A 26,028-nucleotide genomic window follows, 5' to 3' on the forward strand; every position below is an offset into this window, starting at 1 on the left:
TAAAGTACCTACCACATAGGAGGTACTGAGGAAATATTTTTTGAACTATATTGCAGCATTAATTAAATTTGGAATTAAGTGAAAACAAACACTTTTAAAACATTTAGAGCCAGACTTTATGGTTGAACTCTAAGAGGTCTCACCCAAGTTCTTACTTAAGGAAAGGTGTATGGTGACACTAAGACTCCATCTAATTGTTGCTTTAGCAATTCAGTGAATGAGCAGTTTTTTGAATAACCAATCACAATGAAATTAAAAAGTGGCCTTATATATTCAAAATGTGTTCAAAACAAAATATGCCCATTATTGATAATACTCATTGCTTCTTAAGAATGTATATGTATTTTTTTTAAAAAAAGCATAACACCTTTATCAAGCTTTACTTGTTTGCTTTTATTCCACTGTGTGCCTCAGTCAAGCAACCAATGCAAAACTTTGTAAAACTGTAGGTTGCTTTCTTGGACCCAAGAATAAAGCCAGTCTCACCCAAGTCTTCTTCAATGTATGGTCATGCATATATCTAAGGTATATGATTTTTCAGGCAGTAGTGGAAGCTAAGAAGTTAATCCTGGGAGGACTTGAAAAAGCAGAGAAAAAAGAGGACACCAGGATGTATCTGCTGGCTTTGAAGAATGCCCTGCTTCCAGAAGGCATCCCAAGTCTTCTGAAGTATGCAGAAGCAGGAGAAGGGCCCATCAGCCACCTGGCTACCACTGCTCTCCAGAGATATGATCTCCCTTTCATAACTGATGAGGTAAAATCTCCAAGAATATTTGCAACATTTACAGAAGAAAAAAAAAAAGCATGCTGAACATGAGTCAAATGCAAATTCCGCTCAAGTCACTCTGTATTTTCCCCAAATAGTCTTCTCTCCTGCTTAAAAATAACTCTTAAATTGCATTTGCGGCTATTCTAAATATCCTCACAGGGTAACGTCCTATATCTATATCCTGAAGCATAAATATTGAAGCATATTCTCTTATTTTAAGAAACAAATTCTTTTTTGAAATATATTTACTTTTATAAGTTTTAAGATGCTGTTACATTTTTCAATACTGAAATATCCTGGTTTAAGTATAACTTTGTTTGTTACTACAACTACATTTTTCAGGAAGCCATCTAAATTAAACCTTTGTTAGGGCAGAGAATGTCTATAAATCTCAAGATAAACCATCTGCCGAGAATGGTGTTTCCAGTTTATAGCTAAGCACCTTCCCACCAGTTTTGTGTTGAAGTTGGTGGCTGCAAATCATGATGGTTAGGGGCACAGGCTTTTGAGAAAGACAGACCTACGTATAAACTCTGGCTCTGTCCTTCCCTGGTTGTTTGTTCTTGGGTGACTTGTTTAACATCTACATATCTGAGAGCAAAGCCAAGATTTGAGGGAGTTAGTAAAAGGTAAAGGGAAATGAAATTAAAGAAATATTTATAAATGCTTAGTATAGATCCTTACACATTGAATATCATTAGGCAGTTCTAATAATCAATGAAGTTACTTGTTGCTATGGAATGCAATTATTTTGGCACGTTTTCTTCGATGCTAATGTTTTGTTTAGAAAACAAAAGGATCCTAATGTAACCTACAGACTTTGGGTAATAATGAAGTGCCAGGTAGATTTATTGAATGTAAGAGATGTACCACTGAGGGCATTGTTGATACAAGGGGTGATTGTGCGTGTGTAGGGTTAAAAGGTGTGTGGGAACTCTCTGTACTTTCCACTCAATTTTGCTGTGAACCTAAACTGCTCTTTAAAAAGTCTATTAATTAAAAAAAAGAGAGATGGGAAGATTCTGAGGTACTTCATTGTAAGGAAACATTACTTCATATAACTACCTTTCCCCAGAGCCCCATGCCATGTAGTATCCTTAAAATTCTATATTAGTTAGGTAACACCAGGTTATGCTGCAATAAAAAATGTCCCTCAAAATCTCAGCAATGTGTTAAAAGTTTATTTCTGAGCCAGGCATGGTGGCTCACGCCTGTAATCCCAACACTTTGGAAGGCCGAGGCGGGTGGATCACGAGGTCAGGAATTCGAGACCAGACTGGCCAACATAGTGAAACCCCATCTCTACTAAAAATACAAAAATCAGCTGGGCATGGTGGCACACGCCTCTAGTCACAGCTACTTGGGAGGCTGAGGCAGGAGAATCACTTGAACCTGGGAAGCGGAGGTTGCAGTGAGCCGAGATCGTGCCACTGCACTCCAGCCTGGGCAACAAAGCGAGACTCTGCCTCAAAAAAAAAATGTTTATTTCTCAGGCTATGCCTAATGTGCATAAGGAAGTATGTGGTCTGAAGTTCACTACAGTCATGGAAGAAAGAGATGGAGAAAGCCACCAGCTCTTAACGGCCTCAGCCTAGAAGTGATCCTCATAGATTCTATCCATGGCGTATTAGCCAGAACTAGTCACGTGGCCCCCACCAAATCACAAAGGAATCTGGGAAATGTAGTAACACATGTATATTTTTATGAACACTCACTATTCCTGCTATTCCTGCTGAAATGTCCATTTTAAAAATCTAGATGTGCACTAAGTTTGAACATCTTATGAACAGGTGAAGAAGACCTTAAACAGAATATACCACCAAAACCGTAAAGTTCATGAAAAGACTGTGCGCACTGCTGCAGCTGCTATCATTTTAAATAACAATCCATCCTACATGGACGTCAAGAACATCCTGCTGTCTATTGGGGAGCTTCCCCAAGAAATGAATAAATACATGCTCGCCATTGTTCAAGACATCCTACGTTTTGAAATGCCTGCAAGGTATAATACATTGCACATGTCTCTCTGTGTATTCAAGCTTATTTGTGTGTTCATGGGGTACCGATGTAGCTAATAATAATGATGTGGTCATTATGCAGGGTTACGTTGCATAAAACCAAAGAGTGCCAGATTTCCCATAATAGGGCTATTTAGGGGGCCAGATGAAACAACTTCACTTTGGCACTATGAGTCCATGACTGGTAACTCTGGGTATAATTTTTAGTAGGGATGTCTTGTTCAGTCTGGCAAGTGTATATTGCCAAATGTTTTAAAAGCTAACTGCATTTTCAACAGGATTTTAAAAATAAGTACAACAAAACAAAGTAAATTCTTACCAAATGGTTTTCATTGTAACATTTCAAGTGTTAGGAATTTTTGAAGCCTCATTTATCACAGATCAAATAAATTTCCCATTTAAGTTTAAAATCTTAGGCACGGCCCACATTTCAAGGTGATTCAAAATTTAAAGAGTGCAATCAGTAGAGTTCATCACTCTATAACTCTTGCTGAATTAATTTCCTTCCAGTTACCAAGTCTGTCCTCCCAAATGCAAAGTGGCTCCCCCAAGGTGCCTCCTCCCTGGAATTAGAGGGTCAGAGAAGGAAGTTTCATTTTTCCTGAGTTACATGCAGAACACTACCCCCACGAAAGATCAGATTTAAGCATTCACCACAGAGATTGGAAGGGTGGAAAATAAAGGGAAAGAAAATGAAAAAAGACAGCATTAAAAGGTTGAAAGAAAGAGAAACAAGGACTAAGACTGAAGGAAGACATAAGAAACGGGTGTGAGTAGAACAGAGATAAGAGCAGGACATTCAGGAAAGAGCAATGGAGCAAGTGAGTGAGAAAAGAAGCCAAATCTCTCTGCAGCCATGTATTTCTAGTTGAACGCATTTAGCTTCTCCATTTCTTTGTTTGCTTTTATGAGACCCTGTGAAGGAGATCCTGGGTGTACTTGCTGCCTTCGTCTTATGGCTCTAGCATTTCAGGGACCCGGAAAGAGGAGACAGTGGGGTAGAGAACAGACTAGAAATTGTGAGGAAAATATCACCAACATTATGGTTCAGAGTCTCAGAACCAAAAACATTAGAGTGGGGAGGAACACTAAAGGCTCCCTTGCTTGGTATCTCTCCACTGTAGGGCTGTAGTCTCCCAGCAGGTGGTATTCAGACTTTGCTTCCCTCTCCCGATGACAGGAAGCTCACCATCTTTGAGGGAACTTGTGCCAGTGTTGTTCAGAGACTCTCACCATTATGTCTTTGTATAATCTGAAATCTTCCTATTGGCTCTGGTTTTATCCCAGGAGCAAAGCAAAACACGTCTAGTCATTCATCCACAAGAAGACCCTTTGAATATCTGAGGATAGCTGTCATAACCCTTCTCATCTTTGCTTCTCTAGGCTAAAATCTTATAACCTAGTGATATTGGAGGGGAAACCTCTCAGGATGCCATTGCCTCCCCTCAATTATTTTCTACCTTAGACCTAGGACCAGATTTCTATAATTGATTATTTTGATGTTTTGCTATGTTGTCATAATGTTGCTATTACTGATATGATTAATGTTATGTAATCAGAAATGAACATCTTAACACTAATTACTTAGACAAGATGGACGCAATGGGGTAAGGATTAAGACTTACTCCAGAGGAGACGATGATTTCTATATGGGTTTTACTGAGCTGTTTCTGTAATTGGAAACTTCACAGATATAGAAGAAATACTGGAAATGTACTGTTATATGTCATTAGTGAGAGAGACTATTAGGGAATGCAGAAAAACATTTAAAGAAATATTGTGCAATCTCCCCAGTTTGGCACAATTTTCCTTTAAGTGTATGCACTATTAAACAATAAAACCATGACGAATCAAAGAATTTTGCCATGCCTGAAATGTGTCTACTAGTCAACTTAAGCCACCTCAAAGCTGGACACCCTTGCCTTGCTGTCATTTTGATACCAAACTAAATTTCAAATATCTGAGTAATGAAGGGGCTAGCCCTAATCCTGATGCTACCACGCCAGCTGGCACCACCCTGGCTCTTGGAAAGGCATGAGGAAAATTTGGCTTCCTCTTTTTTCCACTGAGGATTTTTTTTTTCCAAATTTGACTTGGGAAACAGTCATTACAATGAATGTGCAGCTTTTTTTTTCCTCATATGTTGCAGCAAAATTGTCCGTCGAGTTCTGAAGGAAATGGTCGCTCACAATTATGACCGTTTCTCCAGGAGTGGATCTTCTTCTGCCTACACTGGCTACATAGAACGTATGTACACCAAAAAGAGGTTCTCCTTCCATACCCCACAACTTAGCATTGCTGGAACTGCTATTAAATTACAGTTATTGTGTGTCATCAGGTAGTCCCCGTTCGGCATCTACTTACAGCCTAGACATTCTCTACTCGGGTTCTGGCATTCTAAGGAGAAGTAACCTGAACATCTTTCAGTACATTGGGAAGGCTGGTCTTCACGGTAGCCAGGTAACTCACTTCTCATGGATTTTGCTTAATAAAGTATGCAAGAAATCAGGCTGAGGTAAAATAAAACATATATGCTGTGGGTAATGCTATAGAATGTATAAGTTAATGGTGGCTTCTGTCATATTTTGCCCATGATTTCCTTATCTGTAAGAGGCTGTATGGTTTATAGTCACTCAGAGAAAGTTTCGAATTTGAACTTGAAACCTAAGTAATTTGATCCATTGAACTTGACAAATGTCCATTTGTCTTTTCAAAGGTGCACATATTCACAAAACTGAAATTGTGCCAATATTTCTTACATAAACGTTTAAAAATAATATTTTATTTTTATTCACAGATATATTTCTTAGCCTCCTCTCACCCCCAAGTATTTAATTCTAGAATATATTTTCCTTTTCTGGTTGTTTCTATGAAGAGATTGATTCCCCATAATAAAACCCTTCATAATAGAATATGATGCTCTAAAGAGTCAATCTGTATTTCTCCAACACTGCTAGAAGAGAAAAGAATAAAATGTAGGCATTCAACAGCTGGCTGACTTCCATCCCTTTAGTGTTATCCAAATTGAGGTGATGGTCTATAAAGACTTCCTAATAATGACATGTACTTTCTTTTTAGTTTTTATGTACATGAAATTATTACCTTGTAAATACAGCCATTTAAGTTTTTAAAATGATCCAATGCTATAAAAACTTGAGTCTTTATCAATCTTATATTACTATACCTTTTGGTAGTACTGTAGTCAGAGTACTATGCCTTTCTGTCCTGAGGAATCACAATCTGTTTTCTGATATGTACTTTGAAATGCAAAACATCCAGGGGTTAAAGGGCTGGGTATGGAGGACAGAAAATATGTAGGATTCCTATTTGTTGTGGAAATAAGTGTGTTAGCCCCCTCATGGTGTTTATCGACTTTTTTTTTTTTTTTTGGCTAGGGAGAAAAGTTTGACATGGAATGGGGTGAGTCATGGCTTAGAGAATACCATGTCCTCACATAGCAGCAGCCTTAGAATGACTCTGCCAACACCTTTCCATCTACTTTTAGATGCTCTGCAAGACAGCTGATGCGTTGTATATGACAGTCCTGGAAAGACTAAGAGTCTGTAGGATGCCATCATAAAATAGAAAGCTCATGGTTTTCATAGTCAGACAGAAGGGGTATGGGTCCCGCCTCTGACATTTATTAGCTGAGTAAACTTGAAAACTTTTTTTGCCTCATCTACAAAATGGGTAATATCATATGTACTTCAAAGAGTGGTTGTGAGGATTCAATGAAAAACTAACCCACCTTATATTCAGGCACAGAGGTTTTTGTCTGTTTTAGTTTTTGTTTTTAGCTGTTGCAAATATTTAAGTTTTTGGCCCCTTGAGAAGTTCTAGCTGCAGCTCAGAAGCTTCACCATTATTTACAGAGCAGGCAGGGAGCTTGCGTCATGAACATTATATTGATTTTATCCAGGTGGTTATTGAAGCCCAAGGACTGGAAGCCTTAATCGCAGCCACCCCTGACGAGGGGGAGGAGAACCTTGACTCCTATGCTGGTATGTCAGCCATCCTCTTTGATGTTCAGCTCAGACCTGTCACCTTTTTCAACGGATACAGTGATTTGATGTCCAAAATGCTGTCAGCATCTGGCGACCCTATCAGTGTGGTGAAAGGACTTATTCTGCTAATAGATCATTCTCAGGTAATTCATTCAGTCTGTGAGTATTTATTGAGTCCCTAAAATACGCCAGGCACGTTTTAAATATGCTTAGTTCTTGGAGGATACAAGACAAAATTGTGCCCATCTTGGAGCTCATATTCCAAGCACTTGGCCCTCTTGGTATTGGTCCCCTTTCTCCTTTACTATAGATATGTTATAATTTCATATATTAGATGATTAATAAGTGCCTTTAATTGGAGGCAAAGAGAAAATGTTGATGTTAACAGAAACAAGAAAGTTTAGGACACAACAGAATAGAGCTACCACTGTCTCCTCACTTGGCTCTCTCAGGCACGAGGGCTTAGGTGATATTTATCCTGAAGGCAGGAGCTGAACTATGTGGCCTTATAAGTCACTGATGACATTTGTAATGACAGAGATGATGAAGATGCATACAGTGCATCATTTTGACCCTGCCAAATTAGTAGAGGCACAAGCAACCACGGCCATGAGCCACATGCAAGAAATCATGAAGACTCTTTGCCCAAAATTCTCATGTATATAAAATCTCAGAAAGATGTGTTCATTCTTAGAGTATAGGAGTACTTTCATTCTCTAGAGCCACATTCTTCAAAATGGTTTTCAATTTTTTGTGGCCCGAAATCTTATGATACTGTACCAAAAAATGACAATACTATCTTTGATGCAGTAAGATTTAAGTGGCCAAGATACTGTGGGATGGAGATGGTCTGCCTAATTAGATTTTCTGAAAAACAGAAGAGGGTTAATCTGAATAACCTTTGAGTCTGAATGTTTGGTGCTTAAAATTTTTCTTTAATAGTTTGATTTATTTTCTGCTTCACTAAGCATAGCAACATAAAAAATGATATATTTGCTAAATAAAATCTTATGAGGAATCAAAGTGATCACTGTGTACTCTAATTCATACTTATTATATTGAGAATATATAAGGAGATTGAAATAAAAATTTACAGATGATTGGATTGACTTGTAAAGTTTACTTTATTGTTTTAATACATTAATGGATAATAGCCTACGTTTGAATTTTGCCTCCGTTACCTTCTTGCTATGTGCTCTTGGGCAGTTACTTAATAGCCTTAAGCCACAATTTCATACTAGTAAAATGAGGCACCTGGAACAGGTGGTCTGAAGATTTTATCAGCTTTTTTGTTTGCCAGATAATTTGAGGATTCTGATTTGTTAGGTTCTGGTTATGAAATCATAGATTTTAAGGGCTGGGAGATATCTTAGGTATTAGACTGTATTAAAACTCCTCCAAAAGCTCATTATTTGGGATTAAACAGTGTTAATTTTCTATCTTTCTTGTTCCTCATATCAGCTCAGGATAGCTGTATATAACAAAAACAAAAAGCAATTTAGAGTGGCTTAACTAAATAGTTTCACTTTTATAGTGTAACAAACATTTGGAAGTAGGTGGTCCAGGGTTAATATGGAAATCTTAAGATATCATCAGAATCCAAGCTGCCTTCCTTCAGCTCAGCCATTCTTACTTGTGACTTTTGACCTCATGCTTGTCACCTTGTGATTATCAGATGGCTGCTCCACTTCCAGCACCACTTCCTCATTCCAAGATGGAAGAAGGGAAGGATAAGAGGTCACAGAGTCTGACTCTTTTTCAAGAATTGTTTGGAATCCCTGTCTAGGTTTTGGACCAAAACGGTGTTACATGGCTATCTCTAGCTGAGAGAGAAGCTTTTGAACATAGTTTTTCAATGGGTGTCTGAACAAAATTGTTTCTGTCAATACAAATGTAGAAAGGACAAAGAGCAGTGCGTCTTGTATCCCTTAATCCTCAAGTCACACATGAAAAAAACAGTTCTCAAATTATATCAGAATTTTACATTGCACAATTCCAGTTTTAATGAAAGAATCGTCTAAAGGCAGCATAAGTACTGAAAAAGTAGTCCACGTTTTAGGACACAGAGGACAGCTCAACACCACCTGTATGTGCTTAGCTACCCATAAACAATGCCTGAGGATTTGAATCGGGGTGTAAAACCATGAGGAGTAATCTAGATCTGGGTCAGCAAACTTGTTCTGTAAAGGGTAGAAAGTAAATATTTTACGCTTTGCAGGCCACATGGTTTCTGTTGCAGCCACTCAATTCTGTTACTGTAGAGTGAAGACAGCCATCAGCAATACATTAACAAATGAGTATGGCTGTGTTCCAATAAAATTTTATGTACAAGAATAGCCAGTGGGCCAGACTTGCCTGCTGGCCATAGTTTGCCAATCCCTGATCTAGATTATCTTGTACAGTTTTTCTATTCACTAAGCTAGGGCAGCTAAGGCAAGGCATATTCTATGAGAAAGATTGCCCCCTAGCTATTAAACATAGCCCAGTGTCTGTGTGTCAGGTTGGAGTATTTGGCAGATCTGAGGTTATTATACAAATTAAGCTGTCTGAGGCCCCCTGGCTCTGCAGAGCACTCCAGTAATGCCATCCTAGCTTCAGAGACACATACCACTCTAGGTCAAGTGCTGACACTGAAGGAAATGTTGGCAGTGGGTAGCCCATCACAGCCACCAGGGCAGATGGAATTACTCTGTGCTTGCTCACACTTTCTCTCTTCAGCTAATTGGATTACTCTTCAGAGAAAGATGTCTCATAAAGTCAGTTTAATAAGGGGATCCTCTTTAGCCAGTAAAGAACATATTTCCCTAAATGGAAGCAACAGGATGAGTTGTCAAAATGTCAGCATCTGAGCTATAAGAAACACTTATGGGACCAAGAGGATCAAAGAGGTCACATTAGCTACAAAGTTCTAATAACTTTTTCCTCTAGTTCATAGGAAAGAATCTAAATAAATATGCACTCTGGGCCAAACAAGGACATAAACCTATGCTCTCTCTCTCTTTTTTTTTCCTTTTTTGCAATATTTCTTAGAACAGGCTTTCTTGTACACCAGGAGACAAAAGAGAGGTATGAGTTTGTGATAGCCATGAATATTAGTAGAAAAGTCTTCACCCAGGCCAGGTGCAGTGGCTCACGCCTGTAATCCCAGCACTTTGGGTGGCCAAGGCAGGTGGATCCCTTGAGCTCAGAAGTTTGAGACCAGGCTGGGCAACATGGTGAAACCCCAGATCTACAAAAAATAAAAAAATTAGCTGGGCATAGTGGGGTATGCCTGTAGTCCCAGCTACTCAGGAGGCTGAGGTGGGGGTGAGAGGATTGCTTGAGCCCAGCAGGTTGAGGCTGGTGTGACCCATGATCACACCACTGCACTCCAGCCCGGGTGACAGAGCAAGACCCCATCTCAAAGAAAGAAAGAAAAGAAATGTCTTCACCCTAGAGACAATTGGAGTGTTTATTCTGGCTTCATGTGTAGCCTCTGAGCCTGATTTTTCCTTTCAATCTTAAGATATAATGCCTACCATGGAATATTGGTATGAGGATTAAATGAGACACCAAAGCTTTGTAGAGCTTTGGGCACACAGTATGTGCTCAAAACCTGTTAGTTCTACTTACTTTATACTGCTTAAAAATTAGCACCATGTGGCTTAGTCCCTTTCAAAAAGGAAAGAGTGCTTTGTTTTTCTACAGGAGTCAGTGGTTTATCTTTATAAGGGGGTCCAAGAAAATTCCTCTTTGCACATGCATTCTTCTTTTGTCCCTTTGTGTAAGGAAGTAGAATTTTCCCAGAAATCCAAGGCACTCCTCATAACCCACCTTGCAATGGAAATGCTCTCTCCCCACAAAAGGTGCGTTGTCTAACAGCCATGAAATGGCCTTTTCCATGGCACTTGGTGTATTTTGCCTTCCATTTAATATATGGTTGGTGGGAAGGCCAAGATCCACATCACAGGCCTCTGCTGGACTGGGTGGATGAACAAGATTATAATTTTCAAATTAGGAAGAGAGAAAAAGATGCAAAGAAAGGAATATTTCTGAGGTGAGGCACACCATAGCTTTCATTTGGAAATAATCATGTTTGGAGTACACATACAGAACTCTCATATTTTGGTCCCATAGTTCACAGGCATAGGTGAAAATGTGGGCATGACTATTGTGTTTTCTTCAGGATAGTTTGTGTCCATCACATTAGTTATAATGCCTCAAACAACCCCTTCATCCCATGCAGCCATATTTTGTCCTATATCAAATGTCTCTTTAAGTATCCTTAGAGCTATCTCCTAATGTGTCCTGAGCATGGCACTGAGAATCTCATGCTTCCATCAAAGAGTGTCCTTCAGACTGAAAGTAGCTTCATGCCGCAACCGTACTTTTTTAATACACCTGGTTGTAAACCAAGTCCTTTGCCTGGGGTTTCCTGTGACCTTTTTTTGGAAAGTGAAGAGAACTCAGGGAGATCAACACAATCCTTGCTAGAAAGTTAAATCATGGCAGTTATAGCTGGCAAATGCATGGCTTGTTTGGTCTGAGTAGGGCAGTTACATAAAGAAGTTAGTCATCCTGCCGGTTGCCAGGAATTTAAGATCTTTGGAGGAATATCAAAATTAAGGATACTGAGTCTCTTTCTCAAAATCATTATCACTTCCAACACTGTCCCCAGGCAATCTGATTCCAATCCAACTAAAAAGTTTTGTGCCAACATCACCTCAACTAATGTACATGAAAAAAAAATGCAAGACTTAAAGGCTAAATGCAGGCAAACAGCACAAAACAATGGGTTTCAGACAACCACAAAATTTGCTCAGGATGGGCCATGTTTGTAAATAATTACTGTCCCTATGAAAAATACTATTGAGTTCATGTTGAACTTGACTATTAACTCAGTGTCATTTCAAATGTCAAACAGCAGGGTATTAGGCTTAGTTAAATTTGCCTTCGTTTTCTAGTTGGATGTAGGCAATTCCTGGAACTTGTATACAGTTGGCGTCTCTGTAACCGCTGGTTCCTCATCAAATTCAACCAACCTCAGATCAAAAATATTTGGAAAAAAAACACCAAACAATAAAATATAGCAAAACGACAGTATATATTCATACAATTTTTAAAATACAGCATAACAGCAACATAGCATTTACACTGTATTAGGTATTATAAGTAATCTAGAGATGATTTAAAGTGTATGGGAGGATGGGTGTAGGTTACATGCAAATACTATGCCTTTTTATATAAGGGACTTGAGCACCCTTGGATTTTGTTATACTCAGGGCTGGGCATAGGTAGTCCTATAACAAGTTCCCCTTGGATACTAACGGACAAACACACTCCACTGGGAGTTTTAAATCTTGTCTGTTATTTTCTAGCAGGATGCAGTTGACTGTATTTGCCACAGCACATAACTAGAGAAGTGCTGAAGGACCTCGAGAGATCACCTGATCCAAACCTCCTCCCCTTACTTCCCTGGACAAAAAGCCACAGCTAGATTTCTGATGGAGATGCCTTCATTTTCCTTAGTTCAAAAGTTTCCAAATTTAGGTGGATCAGAATCATACAAGGGCTTGTTAAAACATAGATTGCTAGACCCCATCCTCAGAGTTTCTAATTTAGTAGGTATGAAGGGGAACTTATAATCTGTACTTCAAACCAGTTCCCAGGCAATGCTGATGCTGTTGTTCACAGAAACACACTTTGAGAACCATTGTTCCTTTCAAAGTGTAGCAATGATTGAAGGAAAACATCCTTCTTAATTGGCACTTCATCACTCTGGTATTTTAATTGACTAATTAATTTAGCAAATCAACAGAGTCTACTTCCGGTGCTTAAAATTAGGACAGCATGTTTCCAAGCCTAGAGAAAGACTCCAACATCAACACAACTCAAATGGAATTATCTACAGCAGGAGGTCAAATGTGCCATTGGAAAGGGGGTTAACTAAATTGTACTTATTATTTTTATAACTATTATTATGCTTTTTTCTTCTAGGAACTTCAGTTACAATCTGGACTAAAAGCCAATATAGAGGTCCAGGGTGGTCTAGCTATTGATATTTCAGGTGCAATGGAGTTTAGCTTGTGGTATCGTGAGTCTAAAACCCGAGTGAAAAATAGGTAAGTGTTTATGCATTATACATTTATGAATTACATATAAGACTATATACAGAGAACTTCCGAAATATGTTTTGGGAATTAATCTTCTGACTTTTCAAAATCTATGCTTTCTATTTGGAATTATAAAACGATAGAGTTGGAAGTGATCATAGGAAATTATTCTGTCTATAGCTTCTTATGAGCAGGTCAGTACCTAATATGACTCAGCCAAGAATTTTCCTGCTTTTAAAGACATACATAGACAGGATGCCCTGTGAATCAGATGGTTCATCTTCTTTTGGTATTCCACCAAGAGAAGAAATTTCACTTTAAGGTAAACTTTCCTCTTTTGTTGTCTTCAGTGGGGAAAAATAAAATAGATAATTTCATCTGTGCAGAAACTAACTATTAAATGTTAAGAGTCCTTAAGTCTTTTCATCAGCATTCCTTTTTCTAAATAAAATACTCTAAGCTCCTTTAATTTTTCTAATCTACCTGTGAGATTTAATGAAAGTGTTTTACTTTGAATATAAAACAATGTCTTTGAACTAGTGTGAAGATGAAAATTATTAGCCTTCTGTTACAGAATTTTTAAAAAGGAAATAGAAATGCAACTAATTTTAATTTTTTGATATTTAAAAACACATTCAGGCAAAAGTGAGATATGTGATAAAATCAAATTTTTGATTCATCTTGAGCTATGGATGAAGGAACTGAGAGCAATCAAACAGTAGCACATTTAATGTGAAGTGTGACCCACAGTGTTACCAAAAGGAAACACAGAATGAAAAATGACACTGGTCATCAAAAGGTTCACAATATAACTTAGGGCTTCCCACATAATCAGTCATCTTTCACCTCTTTCCAAAGTACTTTCTAGACAGAAGTTTTTCCAAATGAAATGGAATTGAATTCTTTGCAAAGAGAAATCAACAACAGCAACAACAACAAAAAGTAATTTGGATTTTTTAAAAAAGTACACAGTATCCTTAAGAATCTACCCTTATCCATATTGTAACCAATCTGTCTTCCATTTCCACTTGTTCATTTGAAAAAAATATCTTTTAAACCTTTGCTGAATATAGGACATCAGAAGGTACTCTAAGTGATTCAGGGATTAAAACGACCTCTGACCTATTTTTACACTGATCATAACAGCAGCAGGGGTTTTAATTTGCGCAGCAAAAATTAATATTCCTGTCAAAACATAAGGGCATAAAACTCTCATTTAATTGTGAAAGCAGTTTCTCACAGTTTGATTTAAAGTCCACAATTCAATTACAGTAGAAGTAAGTCTTCTGTTGAAATTATTTATCCTCTTCATCATTATCCAGGGCACATTCCCCAGCCAATGCAATCTGTTTATCCAGTTATCTAGAGCATCATTAAAGGACCCACCATATTTTTCCTCCTAGGACCTACTGTACATGCCCCACTGTAAGAATGATTTTTTGTAACACAATATTTTTTCAAATATCTTGGCAATCAAGGGCTTACGCCTCTAGAGACTCTTTGGAGAAGGTAATGAAATGGAATTAAAATAGCTGCCTAGAAGCCAACAGAGAGATAGTTAACAAAAAACTATAAGCATCGATTGTCTTCTTGGTGAGTTTAGACTCCATTTTAATATAACTTGGGTATTTCTGACCTGCTGAGAGGACTGGGTTCCAAGAATGTTTTCATTTTGGTCTTTGTTATGCCCATACAAAACAATGTAGTATCTTACAGACACTCCCCACATCTGCAACTGAAGGCAGGGGAGAGCTCAGGGGAAGGGCAAACCTTCCCTGCCCAATATCTGAGACTCACCAGGCCCTGGTTACCAGCAGAACTCTAAGCACATCCAGGTCACCTCTGAATCCCTTAAGTGTTTCCTTCCAGTCACTGGCATCATACGTTCAGACCCTGTAAAGTTACAGCTGTTAGTCCAATACCATTAAATATAATATGAACAAGTTTTTTCTTTTTTTCTCAAATGTTTAGGGTGACTGTGGTAATAACCACTGACATCACAGTGGACTCCTCTTTTGTGAAAGCTGGCCTGGAAACCAGTACAGAAACAGAAGCAGGCTTGGAGTTTATCTCCACAGTGCAGTTTTCTCAGTACCCATTCTTAGTTTGCATGCAGATGGACAAGGATGAAGCTCCATTCAGGTAAGATGCAGCGTTCAGGTCATGTTCCAGGACCATCCCCAGTGCACCAGGAACTTGCATTCAGTTTAGAACATTCAGTTTCAGAATTAAAACAAAACAGTAGAAACCCAGGGAAAGATGAATTTTCTTTAAATGAGTAGAAGAATAATTGATAAGGCCAAAAAAAGTCAGTTTCTGGGATACCAAAAAAAAATCTAATGACTAGTTCATTTGATTCTGGAGATAGTTATCATATTCTAATCCAGAAACAATTTATCCAGGAAAGAAAGGCCTATGATTTACCATAGGAGTTGCCACATAGTTTCATAAAAAAAATCAGATACACATTTACTGTCTGGTATCTTCACAATAAACTGCTGGACAAAAGATTTCAAATAAAACACCTGGCAATCCATTTACCATGTTTAAGGGCCAAAATGAATTCGCAATTTTTAAGTATTCCATATAGCAGCAACTTGACCCTGTTTAAGTTTTGGCTCAAGTTTCAGAGTTTGGGATTCTGAATTTTTTTAAATAATGCTTTTGGTAAAATAGTTAGTGTTTTAAAATACAAAGATATAATTTCCATGTAACATTTGTGCTGTGTCATTTGAATTTTGTAACCATTATTTGTAACAATACTATCACATAGAGCTAGAATGCCTTGAGTCTAGGTAGCACTGACCCTTTCATAATAGTTGACCTACGGTAAGCATAAGGGTCATTTGTACAGTTAAAACAGCAAGCCACATCTTACATCATCTCCTTTTTTAAGTAGGCCAAAATTGAGCACCTTCATTATTTTACTGACATTTCATGATTCATATTAAAAAACGCATTGATTATATAAAAGTAAACGAGTCAGTTGTATTTTCAGAGAATAAAAGATTGTGCTTTATAGTTAAACTATTAAGCTGTCACTAACTTACATTAAGTTATATCTAGAATGAACCTCCACAAATGCATTTTAAAAACCCCAACCTTCTAATGGTTGAAATGCAGTGACCACCAACCCACCCACATGATTAATTGGTTTGGTTCCACATTTGCCTTGGGCCAGAGCTCTTAGAATGTTTCTCTGTCCGCATTCTCTGCTTAAATCCAGCTGGGCTTGCCTGTTACTCAAAAGGAGAGTGCTCCCAAGGTGGGGCTTCTGGAATGAAGGGTGAGACACAGCACAGCCTGCAAAGCTTAATGGCATCACCAAAAAGCTGAAATGAATTTAGTCTTTCATTCTAGAAAAATGTATGGCAGGACTCCCATATCCCAGGCATTTGAAGTGTTTCTGTTGATATAAAAAGAAATGAGAAGAAAATCACCCATTCATGGAGTAGCCTTTGACACTCATATCCTTTCTCAGATTGCTTTGGAACAGAAACTTCAAGTACATTCAGTAACTTGGCTGGAGAGGTATAGGGTGACTTAACTGTGTGTGTAATTCTGTTATTGTTGCTGTTGTTGTACAGGCAATTTGAGAAAAAGTACGAAAGGCTGTCCACAGGCAGAGGTTATGTCTCTCAGAAAAGAAAAGAAAGCGTATTAGCAGGATGTGAATTCCCGCTCCATCAAGAGAACTCAGAGATGTGCAAAGTGGTGTTTGCCCCTCAGCCGGATAGTACTTCCAGCGGATGGTTTTGAAACTGACCTGTGATATTTTACTTGAATTTGTCTCCCCGAAAGGGACACAATGTGGCATGACTAAGTACTTGCTCTCTGAGAGCACAGCGTTTACATATTTACCTGTATTTAAGATTTTTGTAAAAAGCTACAAAAAACTGCAGTTTGATCAAATTTGGGTATATGCAGTATGCTACCCACAGCGTCATTTTGAATCATCATGTGACGCTTTCAACAACGTTCTTAGTTTACTTATACCTCTCTCAAATCTCATTTGGTACAGTCAGAATAGTTATTCTCTAAGAGGAAACTAGTGTTTGTTAAAAACAAAAATAAAAACAAAACCACACAAGGAGAACCCAATTTTGTTTCAACAATTTTTGATCAATGTATATGAAGCTCTTGATAGGACTTCCTTAAGCATGACGGGAAAACCAAACACGTTCCCTAATCAGGAAAAAAAAAAAAAAAAAAAGTAAGACACAAACAAACCATTTTTTTTCTCTTTTTTTGGAGTTGGGGGCCCAGGGAGAAGGGACAAGACTTTTAAAAGACTTGTTAGCCAACTTCAAGAATTAATATTTATGTCTCTGTTATTGTTAGTTTTAAGCCTTAAGGTAGAAGGCACATAGAAATAACATCTCATCTTTCTGCTGACCATTTTAGTGAGGTTGTTCCAAAGACATTCAGGTCTCTACCTCCAGCCCTGCAAAAATATTGGACCTAGCACAGAGGAATCAGGAAAATTAATTTCAGAAACTCCATTTGATTTTTCTTTTGCTGTGTCTTTTTGAGACTGTAATATGGTACACTGTCCTCTAAGGGACATCCTCATTTTATCTCACCTTTTTGGGGGTGAGAGCTCTAGTTCATTTAACTGTACTCTGCACAATAGCTAGGATGACTAAGAGAACATTGCTTCAAGAAACTGGTGGATTTGGATTTCCAAAATATGAAATAAGGAAAAAAATGTTTTTATTTGTATGAATTAAAAGATCCATGTTGAACATTTGCAAATATTTATTAATAAACAGATGTGGTGATAAACCCAAAACAAATGACAGGTCCTTATTTTCCACTAAACACAGACACATGAAATGAAAGTTTAGCTAGCCCACTATTTGTTGTAAATTGAAAACGAAGTGTGATAAAATAAATATGTAGAAATCATATTGAATTCCTTTTGTCTTTTGTTACTTCCAACACCATATTTCTCATTCCTGCCACTTTCTGAGCCTAGACACATACACAGTTAAGCCTCTGCAGCAATACAGGTCAGGCCAGGTTCTCTAGATGGGAGACCAGACCCATTTGAAAAATGGGCCACTGAAAATATCAGCAGTCAGAACCTCTTAAGGACGTGTGAGCTTGAAAACATGCCATAACCCCAGTTTTCATAAAGCTCTGGACTGGCCCCTTTACTGTCATGTTACTAAAAAGGAAGAAAGGAATCAGAAACTAAGGTGGTGGGTGGAGCATGGTATGTGGTAGCATCAGCCTTGGGGAAACCACTCTGTAAAGATGCTGACGTCGCAGGGAAAGTGAGTTGGTCTAGGGTACTAAGCTGAAGATGTTGTGGACTCAGGCGCTTCAGCCCTGTGAGGTTTAACAAATCACAGCCACCTCTGCAAAATGTAATCATTTACTTAACAATGATGACTGTGGTGCTCTGAATGTTAGTGTTTTGCCATTTCCCAACTGTTTACTGGGCTGCTGAGCCAAGTATCTGCCCACCCAGTGGAGAATGGATGATCCTGAGCAACTCTAACATGCTCCAAAGAAACAAGAAAGCAGCAGCATAGGACAAACAGTAACTCCTTTGTAGATAAACAAGACAGAAAATGAAGAGGGGTAGAGTGATAGTCCACATTTGGAAATAAGATATTGGAGCCAGAAAAATAACTTTAAACCTCATTTGCAGTCCTCTAGTTCTGACTACTTCTCCATTATAAATGCCAGCATACAGACACATTTGTCTTCTGAAAAGACATCTATTTGGGAATTGTATAGCCCCCTAATGTGAATCTCCAGGCCTCTGTCCAGTCAGATCTTTCCTGCAAGCTTTAAGATTAGCGTGGCTTCTTTTCTTCTGTGAAGTGTTATTGTCATTCCCTGGCTCATGTTGCAGTCCTGCCTGTGACAAGTTGCTCCCTGCTTCTCTAAACTGACCACCTTCAAGTAAGTGTTAAAGCTAACACTTACTGAGTGCCTATTATATGCGAGGTATTTTAAAGCCTTTTCCGTACATTAATTTAATCTTCATAAAAACTATATTTAATAGGTAGCATTATTTCCATATGATAGATCAGCACTAAGAGAAATATAATATGAGTCACATAAGCAATTTGGAATTTCTAGTAGCCACATTAAAAATGTAAACCAAAACAGGCGAAGTAAACTGTAATAATATATTTTATTTAACCCAAAATATCCAAAGTATTATCGTATCAATATATAAGTAACATAAAAATTATTAATGGGAAGCTTTACTTTTGTGGGGAAGATTAGGTCTTCAAAATGTGGTATATATCTTGTATATAAAGCACATTTCAGTTTGGATGAGACACATTTCAAGTGTTCAGTAGATGCATGTGGCTAGAAGCTGCTGTATTGAATAGTACAATATTGGGCACACAAGACATTTAATTTGCCCCACAGAAGACACTTTCTCACTTAGAAAGTGAAAGAACCAGGACTCAAATATGAGTAGTTTCACCTCAGAACCTGCTCTCTGAACCCATTATAGGATGTTTCCCACATGCTTTTGGTTTTAAAGATTTGCTGCCAAACGAATACAGACAGTAGGTTATGAAAATGAGAAACATGTGACAGCAGCAATAAAGCTAAGAGTTGTTGCCCTTTCTTTTTTTTTGAGACAGAGTCTTGCTCGGTCGCCCAGGCTGCAGTGCAGCGGCGCAATCTCAGCTCACTGCAACCTCTTCCTCCCAGGTTCATGCCATTCTCCCGCCTCAGCCTCCCGAGTAGCAGGGACTGCAGGCGCCCGCCATCATGCCTGGCTAATTTTTTGTGTTTTTAGTAGAGACAGGGTCTCACCGTGTTAGCCAGGATGGTCTTGATCTCCTGACCTCGTGATCTGCCTGCCTTGGCCTCCCAAAGTGCTGGGATTACTGGTGTAAGCCACTGCGCCCGGCGGACTTGTTGCCCTTTCTCTGTGGTCGTTCAGTCTCCTCCTCTGATGGAATCAGAAGCCCACCATAATCAATTGTAGAACGCATCCATCATTCCAAAAAGAAACCTGTACACTTTAGCTATCACTTCCAATGTACCCATCTCCCAGCCCTAGGAAATCACTAGCCTACTTTCTGTGCCTAGATTCATTGTGGACAATTCATATAAATGCACTCATATATACTATGTAGTCTTTTGTGACTGGCTTCTTTCACTTAGCATTGTGTTTTCAAGTTTCGTACACGTTGTAGCATGTATGAGCACTTTATTCTTTTTTATGGTCAAATAATATTGCACTATACAGTTATGCCATGTGTTTATCCATTCATTAGTTAATGGACATTTGGTTTGTTTCCACCTTCTGGATATTATGAATAATTCCGCTATGAACATTTGTGTACAAACTTTTTGGTGGGCATGTGTTTACATTTCTTTATACTTAGCAGTACAATTGGTGACTCAAATGGTAACACTATATTTAACTTTTTGAGAACTGCCAGAATTTTCTCCAATGTAACTGAACCATTTTACATTCCCACCAGCAGTGTATAAGGGTTCTGATATTTCCACATTCTCACCAACACTTATTAATATACTTCTTTTTGATTATAGTCATCCTAGTGGGTGTGAAGTTAGCACTATATTTCGAATAAATAAAAAAATGTATTTGGCTGGGTATGGCGGCCCACACCTGTAATCCCAGCACTTTGGGAGGCCAAGGTGGGATGATTGCTTGAGGCCAGGAGTTTGAGACCAGCCTGAGTAACATAGGAAGACCCTCATCTCTACAAAAAATAAATAAATAAAAAAATTAGCTGGGCTTGGTGGCACATGCCTGTAGTCCCACCTACTCTGAGGCTGAGGTCGGGGAATCGCTCAAGCCCAGGATGTTGAGGCTGCAGTGAGTCGTGATGGTGCTAATGCACTCTAGCCTGAATGACAGAGCGAGACCCTGTCTCAAAAAAGAAAAAAAAAGATTCAAGTCCTTGCCCTTTTTAAAGTTGAATATTTTTCCTTTTATTTTTGAATTGCAAGAATTAGTTATATATTTTCAGTGTAAGTCCCTTATCACATACATAATTTGCAAAAATCTTCTCTCATTCTGTTGGTGTCTTCACTTTCTTGATAACGGCCTTTGAAGTACAAGAGTTTGTAATTTTGCTGAGATACAATTTATCTCTACTTTTTCTTTTTTGTTTGTTTGTTCTTTTGGTGTCATATCTAAGAAACCATTGCCAAATCCAAAGTCACAAAGATTTAACACTATGTTTTCTTTTAAGAACTTCATATTTTAGCTGTTAAATTAGTCCATCATGGTTAATTTTTTATATAGTGAGAAGTAGAGGATCAAAATTTATTCCTTTGTGTATGGATTTCCAGTTGTCCCATCATTGACTGTTGAAGAAACAACTCTGTCCCCATTGAATTATTTTGGCATCCACAAACATGAAGGCTCATTTCTGGACTGTTAGTTTTATTCCATTAATCTCTATGTTGATCTTTATGCTAGTACCGCACTGCCTTGATTACTGTTGCTTTGTAGTAAGTTTTGTACTTGTGAAGTGTGAATCGCATATTTTGTTCTTTTTAAAGATTGTTTTGGCAATTCTGAGTCCCTTAAGTTTTCATATGAATTTTAGGATTAGCCTGTCAATTTCCACAAAGCCAGCTTGGATTCAAATGGAGATTGTGTTGAACCTGTGCATCAAAAATTAATTATATTGTCTCCAGGTCCATGAACACGAAACATCTTTCCATTTATACACATCTTGAATTTCTTTCAACAGTGTTTTGTAATTTTCAGAGTATAAGCTTTGCACTTTTTTCGTTAAATTTATTTCAAATGTTTTATTCTTTTTGATGCTATTCTGAACACATTTGTTTTGTTTCATTTTTTCATTGTTCATTGCAAGTATATAAAAATATAGTTTTTTTTTGTATAATATATTGCTCCTGTAAAAACAAATTATGTTGCAACACTGCTGACCTCATTTATTCATTCTATATCTTTTGGTAATAGATTCTTTAGAATTTTCTATGTAAAGAATAATGTCATTTTTGAATAGACATAGTTTTACTTCTTTCTTTCCCATCTGAATGTTTTTCTTTTTTTATTTTCTTGACTAATTGCCCTGGCAAGAACCTCCAGCACAATCTTGAATAGAAGTGGTGAGAGTGGACATAGCAAAGATGATAATGCTGGTGAAAAATGTGGTGGTGGTGACAGCAGTGACAGACACTAATAACCACGGGACATGAAAGGAAGGCCCAAATTGTTTGGCAGTAGCTCTAGTTCTATTTTCACTAAGTAATATACAGTTGTTCCTTGGTATCTGTGGGGGATTGGTTCCAGGACCCCTGTGGGTACTAAAATCTGTGGATGCTCAATCCCTTATATAATGGCATAGTATTTGCATATAAACTACACACATGCTTGAGTATACTTTAAAGCATCTCTAGATTACTTATAATACCTAATACAATGTCTAAACATCACTTCATTCACATGGCTTCAACTTAGTAGTCAATGTGGGGCAAATTCAAGTTTTGCTTTTTGAAACTTTATGAAATTTTTCTTCCGTATATTTTTGATTCTCAGTTAGTTGAATCTATCCATAGATGGAGAACTCATGCATATGAAGTATTGTAAGTTCTGCTGTGCTTGAAAATTAATAAAAGCTTATTTGAACGTTTAAAACACTTTCAAGATAGTCTAGATGTCTGACTGCACAGAGAAGAGATACACAACTTGAGGTGCCTGTACCAGCACTAAGGATATGTTTGAGATTCAGATTGGTTGAAGCTTCAGTGTTGTCAACTTAGTCAACTTCCTCCCCTAGAAGGAAGCGGGGAGAGAAAGGGAATAGGACAGGGAGGCCTGGCTTAGAAATCCAGTTCCACTACCTGCTGGATCTTGGACATGGGATTCAACCTATCTGCCATTTCCAAAATGGGTATTATAATCTTTATTTCATTGTGTTGTTTTAAGGATTCATGGAGATAATGCATGTAAAGCATACTGCCCAGCACATACTTGGTAGCATTTGGTTAATGTTTTTAATTTTGGAGATGTAGTGAGCAATATCTTATAACTGATCAGTTTTAATAAAAAGGAGTTTGTTTGCACTTTATTTCTACCTCTTCCTTACAGGTAGTTGGAGAGCATAGTAGTAATTTTCTCTCTAACTCTCCAGAATTGGTGCAGAATGGCATGAAAACCTTTCCCATGCAGCATCCAGGAAGGTAGGAGGCAGGGGATTGCAGCAGTGAGGAGATTTGGAGTAAGATACTCCTGCATACGTGAAATCTCACCTCTTCTTCTTACTACTGCTACATAAACCTTCAAGCCTCTCAGCTTCTACATTGGGAAAATGAGCAGCACCTCATAGGTTGTTGTGAGGATGAAGTAAGGTAATAAGCAAGTTCCTGGCGCATAACAAGCATTTAATAAGTACTCATTAATACTAACTTTTCATGTGCAGTCTTATACAATTTCTGAGTAAAGCAACATTTTATGTTTTGACTCAATGGAGTGAATCTATTTTCTGGACATTCATCCATGAACATCATAAGTTTTGGAATGGCTACCAGTTTTGTTTATTTATCATGAAAACACTACTTTCACATTATAAAAAATTATTCCTCCATTTTGTAAAAACATGACTTTCATCCATTTCTCTGCATACCTAAATTGACCTGAGATTTCACTGATCCTTTCTTTACCATTTTTCTTTGCTTTTGTCCTCTGTAAATATGATAATTACCAAGAGTAAAAGAATAAGTCTTTTCACTAGGGGGCATGGAATGAATTTAAAATTCATCCACAAAATAAGAAAGTTCTAGTAGAAAGTTTTTGGAGAAAATCTTAAGAGAACTCTACATCATAAATAAAATGGATAGGATTTTTGAGAGGAAAGAAAATACCAGAAGACACCACTCCAGCTCAGTCATTCTTGTTTAGGACTTGAGCAGAATGTCATATCTATGTTTAAACTTCTACCTATTCTCAGTCTTCATCTTCCTTAACATCAGTTTCTCCTTCCATGTCAAGGCCCCTATAAGAAATAGGGTTGTTACATGAAACTGAAACTGGGTAATTTGAGGAGAGCTCAAAAAACTCTATAAAGATGTGGGCAGGATATAGAAAAAACCACAAGGGATGATGTAGCTCCCTGAGGCTCCTAACAACAGGGATCCCAAAAAGTCAATGGAGGGAGTGATTATTGGCATCCATAGAATATAAACTGTGTTGGTCTGTGGCCTTGGGTAGAGGGATGCAACCACCCTCACCATCTCCACTGGGTGGAAACTAGGGAAACTCTGTTTTCACTTTCTTTCATCTCTCTGTCTTCTGTTGATGGCACCCCTTAGCTGAATCAGCCAGGAGCCAGAGGGCAAGAGTGCACTATTAATCTAAACTATATACAAAGCAGGTAGAAACAGTCAAGAGTAGTTTGAAGGGGAAAATGAAGGAAATCCAGCCAAGCTTATATGATGAGTCCTTCTCTACAACTTGTTAATTTATTTAATCATTTGTCTTATGCAATATGGAGCACCTATTAGAATCAAGAAATGTATTAGACTAAAAAAAAAGCAAGATATGCTGCTTTATCTCAAGAAACTCGGTGAAGTGAGGGAAGCAATACATGTAAAAATAGTTTAGTTCAATGATACAAATGTAAAAGAAACATATCCAAAATCCTAATGGAGCATAAAGAGAAAAAAGATGAAGAAAACATCATCGAGGAGGTGATATTTGAATTAGGCTACATGGGTACTTTACCTCAACCCCAGCTGCTACTTAACCAACTGCTATTTTCCTTTAACTTTGTATCAGCTTCCATTACTGTCCACGACATCTAAGACCCCAGCATAGAGTCAGGTCTGCTAGTCTTCAGCTTGAGTGTGCAGAGAAATAATCTGCAGTCTTACAGAGCCTGTTGTAAAAATTGCAATCCTATTTGATGAGAGTAGAAAAAAATATGAATATTTAGACTGATAAAAATTCCACTGCTGGAGGTATATTAGCTAATCATTTACCTCCTATCTTGGGATTATAGTTAGTCTAGAGTGACATTAGTCATCCTTTGCTACCATCCTATTCATAAAAGCTTAATTTATTCATAGTTAACTGGAACATGATGTAAATCTGTAAGCTATTTTCACCCTTCTATTTTTAATAGAAAGATTCCTGCCATAATCTTCTAGGATTACATGTAAAAGTGTGGACATTCTCTTTCCAGAATAGGCTTTAGTTATAAATTAACTGATTTCCTTTGTTAGTGAAAATGAGTCAATGTTATTTGGTTTGGGGATATCTATCTTTTTAAAATACTTCTCCCACTCAATTTGCCTGAAGATTAACCATGTAAACAGTCATGGAGTAAAATTTCAGGGTGCAATGAATCTTTCAAATTGCCAAGATACACAGAGATGCTTAAAGGTAGAGATGCTCTCATATATTCCTCAAATGGTGAAACCCTGTCTCTTCTCAAAATACAAAAACTAGCAGGGTGGTGGGCGTCTGTAATCCCAGCTACTCAGGAGGCTGAGACAAGAGAATCGCTTGGACCCAGGAGGTGGAGGTTGCCGTGAGCCAAGATCATGCCACTGCACTCCACACTCCAGCCTGAGTGAGACTCCGTCAAAAAAAGAAAAAAACAAAACAACAACAACAAAAAAAACAGACATTCGCTCTTTAATGAGATCTGAAGGAGTTATGGTAAATACAAAGCACTTGTTAGGTGAGCAGACAATTCCCAAGAATTAACATTACTTAACATGCCTAAACAAAGTTTTCTCTACCTTTATTATTTAGCAAACATTTTATATTACACTTGTTAAGTGCCATGTACTGCTCTAGGCCCTTTACAGGCATTAAATCAGTTCCTTCTCATAAGAACCCTACCAAGTAGGAACTATTATTACACACTAGATTTGTTTAGGAAGAATCAAAACAGAGGGATTCAGTGACTTGTCCAATGTCTCACAGCTGGCGAAAGGCAGAGTCTGGATTTAATTCTGCAAGATTTAACTCTAGAGGAGTCTGCTACCTATGGCAAGATCCAGTCTGAGCTCCTAAGACTAGAATTCAATTCTCTCCTCACACTCAGGTTCCACACTTCATTCCTGTCTCCTATGCATGACTTTTCATGAATATCACCTTTCCTGCCCCTGAAATATGCACTGTCCCAAACAGATCTTACCCTTAGCTGTTT

The 26,028-nt window shown here is 37.9% G+C and overlaps 1 protein-coding gene across 3 annotated transcripts in view; it reads left to right on the forward strand.

Annotated features, from left to right (window-relative positions):
* MTTP (microsomal triglyceride transfer protein) overlaps nucleotides 1-17,791 on the forward strand; it is a 59,868-nt gene extending 42,077 nt beyond the window's left edge. For all 3 annotated transcript variants that reach the window (NM_000253.4, NM_001300785.2, NM_001386140.1), the window contains 8 exons: nucleotides 542-754; nucleotides 2,560-2,771; nucleotides 4,937-5,034; nucleotides 5,126-5,247; nucleotides 6,707-6,934; nucleotides 12,768-12,892; nucleotides 14,855-15,025; nucleotides 16,471-17,791. In NM_000253.4, the coding sequence (NP_000244.2) occupies nucleotides 542-754; nucleotides 2,560-2,771; nucleotides 4,937-5,034; nucleotides 5,126-5,247; nucleotides 6,707-6,934; nucleotides 12,768-12,892; nucleotides 14,855-15,025; nucleotides 16,471-16,642 (1,341 nt within the window). In that variant the 3' untranslated portion in view covers nucleotides 16,643-17,791. The remainder of the gene's footprint in view (nucleotides 1-541; nucleotides 755-2,559; nucleotides 2,772-4,936; nucleotides 5,035-5,125; nucleotides 5,248-6,706; nucleotides 6,935-12,767; nucleotides 12,893-14,854; nucleotides 15,026-16,470) is intronic.

Source organism: Homo sapiens, chromosome 4 (assembly GCF_000001405.40).
Source record: "Homo sapiens chromosome 4, GRCh38.p14 Primary Assembly".
In the NCBI taxonomy this organism is placed as follows: Eukaryota; Metazoa; Chordata; class Mammalia; order Primates; family Hominidae; genus Homo; species Homo sapiens.